This window comes from Homo sapiens, chromosome 10 (genome assembly GCF_000001405.40).
Source record: "Homo sapiens chromosome 10, GRCh38.p14 Primary Assembly".
Lineage (NCBI taxonomy): Eukaryota > Metazoa > Chordata > Mammalia > Primates > Hominidae > Homo > Homo sapiens.
The window spans coordinates 120,482,619-120,494,687 of NC_000010.11; the positions used below are offsets into that span (position 1 = coordinate 120,482,619).

Genomic DNA, 12,069 nt, shown 5'->3' on the forward strand with positions numbered 1-12,069 from the left:
CTGTCGCCAGGCGCAGTGGCTCACACCTGTAATCCCAGCATTTTGGGAGGCTGAGGCGGGCAGATCACGAGGTCAGGAGATCGAGACCATCCTGGCGAACAGGGTGAAACCCTGTCTCTACTGAAAATACAAAAAAAAAAAAACTTAGCCAGGCATGGTGGCGGGTGCCTGTAGTCCCAGCTACTTGGGAGGCTGAGGCAGGAGAATGGTGTGAATCTGGAAGGCGGAGCTTGCTGTGAGCCGAGATCGCACCACTGCACTCCAGCCTGGGTGACAGAGTGAGACTCTGTATTATTCCTGGGTGTGTCTGTGAGGGTGTTGCCAAAGAAGATTAGCATTTGAGTCAGTGGACTGGGAAGGGCAGACCCACCCTCAATCTGGGTGGGCATCATCTAATCAGCTGCTAGTGTGGCTAGAATAAAGCAGACAGAAGAAAGTGGAAGGACTTGACTTGATGAGTCTTTCAGCCTTCATCTTTCTCCCATGCTGAATGCTGCCTGCCCTCGAACATCAGACTGCAAGTTCTTCAGATTTTGGCCTCTTGGACTTACACCAGTGGTTTGCCAGGGGCTCTCAGACATTTGGCCACAGACTGAAGGCTGCCTCTCGGCTTCCTTACTTTTGAGGTTTTGAGACTCCTGCTGATCCACCACTGGCTTCCTTGCTCCTCAGCTTGCAGACAGCCTATCATGGGCCTTTACCTTGTGATGGTATGAGTCAGTTCTCCTGAATAAACTCCCCATTCATATATACGTCTATCCTATTAGTTCTGTTCCTCTAGAGAACCCTGATTAATACATTCTCTTAGGGGTCTTGTGAGGACTGAGTGAATTAATGAAGTTAATGAGTGTAAAGCACTTAGAATGTCCCAGGCATACACTGAGTCTTTGGGCATTCCACTGTGGTCACCACCATGGGCCTTGAATCCCTGCAGTGATGGGGCCCTGGAATAGAAGATTCTGTGATTTGAATATTTGACTCCTCCAAACTTCATGTTGAAATTTGATCACCGATGTTGGAGGCAGAGCCTAATGGAAGGTGTTTGGGTCAAGGGATTGGATCCCTTAAGAGTAGATCAGTGCCCTCCTTGGGGATGGGGTGAGTTCTCACTCTATTAATTCCCATGACAGCTAGTTGTTAAAAAGAGCCTGACCCCTCCCCACTGTCTCTTACTTTTTTTCTGGCCATGTGATCTCTGCACGTGGAGCTCCCCGGGCCTTCTGCCAGGAGTTAAGCAGCCTGAGGCCCTCAGCAGATGCAGATGCCCAATCTTAAACATTCCAGCCATTAGAATTCTGAGCAAAATAAACCTTTTATCTTTATAAATTACCCAGTCTCAGGTATTTCTCTATAGCAACACAAAATGGACTAAGACAGAGGGAGAGAGAGACAAATGAGGGCTCTGCAGTCATGGAGCTTCCAGGCTGGTGGAGATGACCAGCAATGAGCAAGTATCTGTATAAGTGCTACAGGAAATTTCAAATGTGATGTGCTAGTAAGTGAGCAGATGTTACCATTGTTAACATTTTGGGGATTTTCTTTTTGTCTCTTTTTTTCTATGCATATGTGCATGTTCTATAAACAATAACAATATTAGCAAAAGGGAGAGCACAGGATCTGCTATATTCTTCCCTTTTACCTAACAGTATATCATTGCAAATAGTCAATCACCATAAATGGTCAGTGTATGGCTGTCTTAGTCTGTTTTATGCTGCTATAACAGAATACCTGAAATTGGATAATTCATAATAAACAGAAATGTATTGGTGCATGTTTCTGGAGATTAGGAAGTCCAAGATCGAGGTGCCAGCATCTGGTGAGGGCCTTCCTGCTGCACCATCCCATGGCAGAAGGTGAGAGGGCAAGAGAAGGTGAGAGAGGGCAAAAGGGGGGTGAATTTGTGCTTTTATAAGGAACCCATTCCTGCAATAATGGCATTAATTCATTCAACGGGGCAAAGCCCTTATGGCCTAATTACCTCTTAAAGTTCCCATGTCTTAATATGCTGCATTAGGGATCAAGTTTGTTGCATTGGGGATCACCTCTTAATACTGTTGCATTGGGGACCAACACATGAACTTTGGGGGACACATTCGAACCATAAAAATGGAAGAATAATGTTCCCCCAGGGATGTCCACATCCTCATTCCTGGAGCCTGTGAACGTATAACCTTACATGGCCAAGGGAATTAAGGTTACAAATGTAATTAAGGTTCTATTCAGATGACCCTGAGATGGAGAGATTATTCTGGATTAGCTGGTGGGCCCAGTGTAATCACATGAGTCCTTAAAAGTGGAAAAGAAGAGGCAGAAGAGGAGGTCAGAGAGATGCAATGTGTACAGGACTCAACCTGCCATTGCTAGCTTTGAAGATGAAGGGACCACAAAGCAAGGAATGAGGGCAGCCTCTAGATGCTGGAAAAGGCAAGGAAGTAGATTCTATTCTAGAGCTTCCAGAAAGGAATGCAGCTTTGCTAGCACTTTGCCTTTAGCCCAGGGAGATCTGCATCAGACTTTTGACTTCCAGAACTTGTGTTACTTAAAGCCACTATGTTTGTAGTCATTTGTTACAGCTGCAGTAGGAAACTTATACCATCTGTTTCTAAACCTGTGCCTTCCCCCTAGAGCTCCCTGAAGGCAGGGACTGTGCCTTATTCACTCTGGGTCCAAGTGCCTGGCACAGGCTTTAAGCTCAATAAACATTTGCTAAACTCTTTTCACCTGCTCAGGAGCTGAGCCTCTGCATTAGGACTGGAGGGGACCCCTTTGTCTCTCTTTTCCATACCCAAACCCTAGTCTTGATGTGGCCCACTAGGAGTGGCCTCCAAGGCCTACAGACCTACTTCCAGCCCAGGCCAGCCTAAAGTGAGGGCAAGTGGTACAGAGAGAACACTGCCTGCTGGCTTAACTCACACCAAATAGCACCTCCTTCAGAAGGGGAATTCCTGTTAAGTAGAAGGGTTCATAAGTGGAACTCAAAACATGCACATGGTTTTTGATGCTGGATACTGTGAATTTCTTGCCATATTTTTACAAAAGGACCATTATTGATTCATTCATTAGGGAAATAAATGAGGTAAAGACAAAAATCAAAAAGAAAATTGAAATAAAAGAAAAGAACAAGAAAAGCAAAAAGAATACAGCGATGTGAGCTGTTCACCTCCTGAGTTGCTGCTTGCCCATCTCTCCTTGTAAGGTGACTGCACAGTGGGCCTGCCCCACCCTGGCTGCCCTGAGATTTGTATTAGTTGGCCTAGGGTGAGGCAGGGACAGTGATATTTTTAAAAGCTCAACGATGGAGCCTAGTAAGCAGCCGGTGGGGACACCAACTGCTGCACGATATTCTTGGTCTGCTCTGGTCTCAAGTTAGAAGCTCCCAAACCCTAAAACTCTGTAAAGGATGCTGCTTGAAAACCAGCCAAGCAGCCCTCTCATCTTATAAATGGAGAAACCGAGGTTTAGAAACACAGATGCCAACCTCACAGTCATGTAATGTCACACTTGGTGTCCGGGTTGAGGCCAGGGCCTGCTTCTGTGGATTTTTCACGCCCACCCTCTATCTTACTAGTGTTGCCAATAGTCTTAAATTCGGGCAGCCCCGTCAACCTCCATCTGTGAGAGGCTTTCCTCCCATTTCATTTAAGTTTTTTTTTTTTTCCTCCTCAAATGCTCCTTTGAAAGATCTGCTTTTGATGGGAGACATGGACTCGCCCTGCCTCCGCCTCCATGTCTACTGTCCCCTAGATGAGGCAATACCAATTAGCTAGTATGAACATGGGCTCTGGAGTCACTCAGGTGTGGCTCTGAAATTTGGCTGCACTAATACTGTGTGGTCCCTGAAAGCCTCAGTTTGACCAGCTGTAAAATGGGCTTAATACTAGTACATCATTCATAGTGGTTGTGAGGTTGAAAAGACATGGAATACATTTAAAGTGCTCAGAACTGCGTGTGACACATAAATGCCAGCTGTTACACGTTATATTATTGTTTTAAATTACTACTGATATAGGGAGGAGAATGTGGTTTCAGGTGTCAGAGCCAGTAAGGAACATCGACAGACGTTTTTGCCATTGCTTATTGGCTTCCTTTGGAATGTATGTGGCATTGGTCAGTGGTGTCCACTCCTTGACCAGACAGGCACAAGTCCTCTCTTGGGGACTGGTAACAGTGAGCTTCCAAGGGAATGGTGTGACGAGCTTGTTAGCCTTGGAGCAGAGGCTCCCTGGGCTTTTACCTCTTATCTACTTTGCCTGCCTTAAGGTCAGCCCACCCGGGCTGCCTCCTGCAGGGGTCCCAGGTGTATGGACAGACATGAGCCCTTGCTTATTGTGGGATTCAGAAGGGGTTTGCTGCCTTCTCCTTCACTGTCTCCATTACAGAAACATTTTCCATGCAAGTAATTGCAGAATGAGATAACGAGGAGGAAGATGGGGCAGATGATAGTGGATAAACTAAACTAACTTGATTACACTTTTTCCCAAACTTGTTATCCACACTTGCTGTGCTGTGCGAAATCTCAAAAGCCAATTAAGACCTTACAATCACAACTGCAGGTTCCAGAGAAGTCTCCCTTATAAGTCTAGCAGATCTGCCAACAGATTGAGCGTGGTGAGAGTAACTCTTCTGCTTTGGATTTTTGTATTTCGGTGAGAACAGGGAGTTTTATTGTTACGCTTTTAAACAAAGCTATTACACATTGAGATGGGAAGGCAACTCTTCCGCTGATGTGGTGTGTAGTGATTTAGGTGAACCTTTGGTATTTTAAAGCGGGATCGTTCTGATTGGTAACATTGTCAATTGCACAGAGAACTGATTCATTTTAAGACATGTTGATGTCACTTACAAAATCACAAGTTAAAGGACTTTGGGAAATCATTTAAGTCAGAGAAGCAACATTTGATTTATTTCTCAGCTTACTATTAGCTTCCTTTTATCAATATTACTTGACCTTTAAATCAGTTTTTTAATAGACAAGATAACCTTATAGGGTCATGGTAAGTGTGAATGAAATAATGTATGTTAAGTGTATAATTCAGCACCTGGAATGTAGAAGGGGTGCTGAAACTTTTGGCTTCTCCATTGTTTGGGAGGGGAGATTCATAGCATTTGGACAGAAAAAAACTCTAAAGTCATCCAGTCCAGTTCCTTAGTGAGAAAAATGAGGAACACAGAAAGAGAGAGAACTGTAAATGATTTACTCAGATTGCTTTAGCAGCTAAGCCAAGGATAGAACGTGAATGTCCTGGCTTCCAGAGTTGGTGGCTACTTTTTACCTGGTCCTTGACTGTTTCCCATGCCAGCAGGAAACCCAAAGCTCTCAACCCAGAGGCACCTGGAAATCCAAGACAGGAGAGGGCAGGGGAACTAAGGGATGGAGACCATGATGAGAAAAGGCTCCAGAAGTCAGGGGCTCTCTGGGAGCAGATGTGGTCCCCACTGGAGAAGGACCATGTCCCAAGATGGCCTTGTGGGGTGACATTATTCAGGAAGGGCCTGGATGGAGGGAAGAGGAGCTTGGGGAAAAGAATGATCAGGGAGAGTGATCAAAGAACAGAAGGGCAGTGTCAGGAGCCCAGAGTCAATGCCAGCCCCCCTTGAGTGGTTTATAAAGCATTTTCACATTTATTATCTTATTTGAAGCCTTAAAACAGTTCTGCCATGTGGGTGGAATGTCAATATGTGCTGAATGAATGAGTGAGTGAATGAATGAATGATGACTGAAAGCTAACATTTATTAAACCTGCTTACTATATGCCAGTCATTGCATTTAAAATAAGCCTTTTACAGATGAGGGAACTGAGGCACACAGAAGTAAAGTGATTGGCCAAGGTCAAACCCTAGGAAGGATATTTCAGAATTCGTGCTTTTCATTTAACTATCTTGCCATACTGCAAGTGCATGAAAGAAAAGTAGGTGGATGGATTTCCATTTTACCAACAAGGAAGTAGCAACATTGAAGGGCAAGAGGCTCCTACAGTTGTAAAGTAATCAGTGGTCAAGTCACTGCTAGTTAGCTCTTTTGATCTCTAGTCCAACATGCTGCTAACTAGCTCCAGCTTGTATCCCACACTACTTGGGCAGGCTCTGGGTCCTCCCACCACATACCGAGTCAAGCTGTTGTCTTCAGCCCACCCATTGTCCCACCCTCACCTCAGTGTGCTCTTGCCCCACATTTTCAAAAATAGTCATAATGGAAATAGCCCAGGATTATGGTTAGAAGTTTAAGTTCCAGTTTTGATGCTTGTTAGCTGAATGACTTTGGGCAGGGCAAGAAACCTCTTTGAGACTCAGCTTCCCTCTCTGGAAATTGGAGATAACAGTGCCTACTTTTCACTTGTAAGGTTTGAGATAAGATGTAAGAAGTGTCTAGCAGCTTCTTGGCAGGTAAGAAGCACTCAGTAAATTGATCAGCTGATCCTTCCCTCCCTCCCTACTTCCTTTTGTCCCTCCAGGTGCCTCTGAAGATGACGTCTCATTTACTGCATGAATAAGGAGCGGTTCAGGCAGCTGTCATATATCAAATCCAATTCTCAGTGAGTGCAGCAGGGCTGATATAGCTCCATCAGTTGGGATAGATGATGAAGAACGCAAGGTTTGCAAGTTGATCTTTCGTTGGAGAATTGGTGGTGATAGCGGTGGTGGACAGGGACACATTGACCACACAGATGCTGTGGACCAGTTCGTCTTAATGAACCACTTGGCGAATGAGTACCCAGCAAAGTCCAGGCTCCCTGAGAATAGACATGCATTTGTTCACAGGGGAGCAGACTTCAGAGAGTGGGACCAAGGGGCCCTGGTGACCGTTAAATACCCGCTACTCCCCAGACGAGCTAGCAGCCAGTTTGAGCAGCCATGAGAGGTGGTGTGAACACAGTGTCACACTGCACAACTGCGGTAGGAGTGGGCCACCAACACATGGGTGTGGCGGTCTGGATGGGGAAGACCTTGGGGTGGGCATTTGCCTTGTCCAAAGTGGGCAGCTGCTTCTTAGTTTTTTGGACTGAGTGCTGCCGTGGGGAGATGCAGACTCAAGGTTGCCAGATCAAATGCTTCATCAGAAGCCAGAAATTCAGATGTTAATGTAAGAGCTCCTGTTTTTAAAATATTGGCCATGAGTTACATTTAAAAAAAAAAATTTTAACATGGAGCAGCTCAAACCAAATATGCAGCAGGCTGCAATTAGTTCAGGTTGCCAGCTGCCAGCTTCCGATTAAAGATTCCAGGTGGCAGAGGCTTGGGTCTTCATTGGAACAGCTGACATGGATTTATTTGTTCAGTCATTGATTCAACAAATATTTATTGAGCACCTACTGCATGCCAGGCACTATTCTAAGTGCTGGGGATACAGCTCAGACCACAAGCAGACAAGAATGCCTGCTGCCCTTGTGGAGCTGGTGTTCTGCTGTGACCCCTCCATTCTGCCTGAGGCCACTGAATCTTTGCAGTAGTAATGATGATGATGACCTGGTTATTCCCTCTCCTCTTCTTAGGGAGACTTAAAGTGAGCAGCTCAACCTCAGTCATAAAGTCCGGTTGTACCAAACAGGCAACCATTCCTGGTCCTTGACTCAGGTGATGGCCACTGGTGGGGACAGAGACCCCACCTTGGGGATGTCTCCAGCTGTCCAAAGTCAAGACCAGTTCTATAGGCCACGTGCTTGAGATGCCTCCATTTGCATTTGAATTGAGAAGTTCAGAGTTTGCAGTACAGGTGGCCATGAAAACATTTATTGATATCCACTGTGAGCAAAAACTTTTGGGACAAAAATGAGGGCTCCTTATCTGCTTAAAAAACAGCCCCTGCCATTCCTTAGGGTGGGAGGAAGCCCCCGAGTTCTCCAGAGCTCAGCCACTGAGCAGATAGACATGCTGTGGGAAGCTGCATTCCAGAGCCTCATTGAATGCTCACATGTTTGCAGCCCTGTCCTGGATGCCTGCCCTCAGCCTCTCTTCTAATCATGGGCTGTATTTGTGGCTGTTTCATCTTACACATCTGATTCCTCTCACCTGCCAGACCATTCTAGAACACAGCCTTGTTCCTCCATGGGGGAACAGTAGGTCAGAGAAATGGTCATGGGTGTCAGGTCAGGACTGTGCTGATTTCTGCCAAGGACTGGGGTGAGATCTCGAGGGAGCAGCAGAAAGGCCTGATGCCACCTGTGCTGCTGCTCACTGGAGCCAGGGGAACTCAGATGACATTACAAGGAAGGAAAATCTCAAAGACACCTCACAGTCCCCTATTTAGGAAAACACGCTCTCTGTATATTGTGTTTTAATGAAAATGGCAGCTCAAAAGCACCTTCAAACTAAGTTCTGTTTTTCACTGTGTTTTCCCCTGAGTGATGAGTAGCATTCTTTCCTGTCCTCGAGCCCCTATCTCTGCTCAGGGTTATGTCCTAGAGTCTTGCTGTGTCCTGGTGCGGGGTATACAGACTGTCCCAGACTGCTTTCCCATTGGGAAATTTATTTGGCCAAGACAGGAGCCGAGTTCTGGAGGTCTCTGGGCTGCTGGCCCTGCTGGGTGAGGGGACCTGGCTTGTGCTAAGGTGCATCTGAGCTCTGGGTTGCCCAGGAAGCCAGTAGGAGGTGAATTCTGCAGATTTCCCTGGGTCACAAGCTTACTGGCCTCGTTCTGCCCCAAGTCACCTGCCACTGTGATGTTCACTTTCGCCAGTACCTCATCACTCAAAGTTATTAAGCAGCTGCTTTTGGAGGCATTCAGGGCCACATCCGAGCCAGGGAGAGGGCTCCTCAGTGCCCCAGGCTCCAGGGCACCAGCACCTTTAACCTGAGCATTTTGAAGGTGACTCATTTTGTGACTGACCCAACCTCTTTCCAGTTCTCTTTCTTTCTCTTTCTGATATTTCCTATCCTGCCCTTCCTTTTACTTTCTAATTTTTCTCATTATTCTTCCCATTGTCTTCACTGAAATCTAGATGAAGCTAAATATTTCCCAATAATAGGCTGTTTCTTTAGTTGGTAAAACACCTAATTTTGTAGCATCTCAATGGCCAATGGGCAAAGTTGTTTTACAGAACTTCTTGATGTGAAAATTTTTAAATACCCTCCACCAATTATCAGCACTTTTATTTCATCTGCTTCCCTCTCTCCCTTTTTTGGTGAAGTCTTTTAAAGCAGATCCTAGATATGGCATCATGTCTGTATATACTTTGATATGGAATTTTAATCTCTAAGAACAACAACAACAAAACCCAACAACAACAAAACCCAACAACAAACATACAAGCAAACAAAAAAACCCAAGTGATCTCCCATTACTATTGTAATACCTGATGAAATTAATAATAATTTCTTTGAATCAGGATCCAAATAAGGTCCACACATATTTGGTATACAAATTTTTGGAAATAATTTGTTTTTCATTTAGAATTCTTTGGTAATTAGTACTACTATTAATGCCAGTTGCTGAGTGCCTCTTGTGAGATCTTGACAATTATCTCAAATCTTCACCACCTCCTAACAGAGTGCTCTGCCCATTTTATAGATGAGCAGGGCAACTTAACTGCTTGACCCAGGTTATGAGGCCTCGACTGGATCCTGCTCTGTCAGCTGCTGCACCCAGGTTTACGTAGACCAGGATTTTCTGTTTGTGTTCAGACAATGAAAATATTTTCAGTCTTCTGTTGTTTACTCCCAAAGGAAAGGCACCTTCTGTAGAAAGGTTTGAAAATAGTTGCACTAAACATTTGGACTTCTGGGGTGATGCATGTGGTTTCTGCACATTGTGTTGCTGCCAAATATGCTTACGTTTACACCATGCCCCATAGCAGCCATGTTTGAATGTGTTTTGCTATTTTTATTATGAGGCAGAAGTGGTTTTCAATATCCTGTTGCTGCTGAAGACAACTCCTGCAGGAAGGGAAGCACAGAACAGCCTGGCTCTTTACGTCCATTCTGCATTACCTCACTGTTTATTCCTCCCCACAGCTGCTGAGATAGTGGCAGTTATCTCCATTTACAGAAGAGGGCTCGGAGGGGACATATGCCTTGCCCAAATCACACCATGAGTAAGAGGCAAAGGCAGGATGCAGGGGTTTCAACTCCACAGCTCTGGCTGCCAGCCCTTGTACTTTCAGAGCAACACTATCTTCCTTGCTATTTCCCCACTTTTAAGGTCCTGCTTCTGGACCTTTCTATGCCAACATTTTATCCTGAAAAATTCCAAATATTTAGAAAGGTTGAAAGAGTAGAATGATCCCCTATATGCTCTACCTAGATATAGCAATTGTTAACATGTAATCATATTGGTTGGATATCTCTGTTTATTGTTCATATATGTATTTTTCTGAACTACCTGAAAGTAACTTACTGATACCTGAGGTTCCTAAACCCCCCTAAATGTTTCAGCTGCTTCTCCTACAAAGAGGGCATTCTTCTACATATCCATGTCATTACTGCACTGAAGAAAATTAGTATACTTCCTTACTGTCACCTAAAATCTAATTCATTCTCTAATCCCACAATTTCCCCAATCATCCTCAGTGTTTCTTTTTAATAGCTTTTGGTTTGTTTTGACCCAAGACCTGGTCAGAGCACATATGTTTCATTTTTGATTGTTTTGTCTCTTCGGGCTCTTGTAATCTGGAACATTTAGCTTTATTCTAACTTTATTCGTGGGTTCACCTAATTGTTCATTGAGGGTGTTTGACTTGTTCCTCTTCCCCTGTTGGGTCTAAGGGTTTGATGAGATCCGGAGTATGCATGTTTGGGAAGAATGCTCAGTGGGATGCCATGGCCGTCCTGTCTCCTTGTGTTGAGGGCACAGGAGAAAGGGTCTGTGGTTCCAGTGTCAGGGGCCACAGGTAAAGAATGCAAGTTAGGGTCATTTTTCTAAAAGCTGAAGAAGAGTCAGCATGAGCAGGCAGAGGCTTTGCATTGGGAGCTTTGCTTTACCCGCACGGCCTGTTCTGGTCCTCTCTCTGCCAGTCCCGCTGCCTTCCATGCCCTGGGAGCTGGATAGATGGATGACATCTCCAGGCTTGGGCCACACATTTCCACACTGTCCACTCACCAATCCCCCCCCATCCTACCCCAGTGTGTTTAGGAGGGTACAGCAGTAGAGTACGTGTTTTCATTGTCTCTTATACACGTTCTCGTCGAGGGAGGGATTCCTGCCCTAGGGTTATGAGGATGGTCATACATGACACTCAACACTGGGCAGATGAGATCAACGGCAGCTTACTCCCCACATATACTCACAGCCCAGGGGAGGAGTACACTGCACGCCATGCAGGGACACAAGGAACAGAGTGAACAGCCAGGGACTATGGGAGGCAGGCTTTGTAGTGTATCAGGAGGGTGGGGTGGTCCCTGGTAGTGGCAGGAGGATGTAATTGACTTATTGAATAATTCCACGAGCTAGCAGGAAGCTGAGACTCACTATTCTGAGATAAGCAGAAACTGTGCCTGGTCATATCAATAAGAAATGTTGTTTGGCTACAGGACCTTATTTGTGAAAGCAGAGTAGGGAGGGGAACTTGTGGTTAGGACATTTGAATGCATTTTGGTTTCAGATGTCAAAACAAGACATAACATTGGGCCTCAATTTTAGACTTTACACTGCTCAAATTTAACACCCTTATTATTCATTCACTATGTGTACTCATCCTCATAAGCACTTCATATGAATTAATTCATTTAATCCTTACACCAACCCTCTGAGGTAGGCGCTATTATCAGCGTCACTTCAGAGATGAGGCAACTGAGGCCTGACAAGTCAAGCACCTTGCCCAAGGTCACGTGGCTGGTAAGGAAAGAATAAAAATCCAACCCAGGAGAGCTGCCCGCAGAATCTGTGCCCCCACAGTTGAAAAGGGCATGAGATTTAGAGTGAGGGCACGAGGACATGACTCCCGGCTCTGCCTTGGTTGGGCATTTATGCTTGCTAAGCCTCAGTCTTTGCATCTGAGTTGGGAGGCTTATCACAGAGCAAGAAGAACCATCCCCAAGAGGGGGTGGTAATTCCGGGAGCTGTTCCTGGTCCAGTCCTGGGCTGGTCTCTACATGCCAGTCTTCCTTATCCAGGTGAGGGGTGGATTATTTGATTAA

General features: G+C 45.4%; 1 protein-coding gene across 11 annotated transcripts in view; it reads left to right on the forward strand.

Moving 5' to 3' along the window:
• Positions 1–12,069, forward strand: part of PLPP4 (phospholipid phosphatase 4) — a 135,112-nt gene that overhangs the window by 25,665 nt on the left and 97,378 nt on the right. The window contains exon 2 of one of the 11 annotated variants that reach the window (XM_011539444.4): positions 6,453–6,533. The exons of 9 other annotated variants lie outside the window; for them this stretch is intronic. In XM_011539444.4, the coding sequence (XP_011537746.1) occupies positions 6,484–6,533 (50 nt within the window). In that variant the 5' untranslated portion in view covers positions 6,453–6,483. Of the gene's footprint in view, positions 1–6,452; positions 6,593–12,069 lie in introns of those variants that run through there. One more of the 11 variants, XM_047424709.1, reaches the window with a different exon arrangement.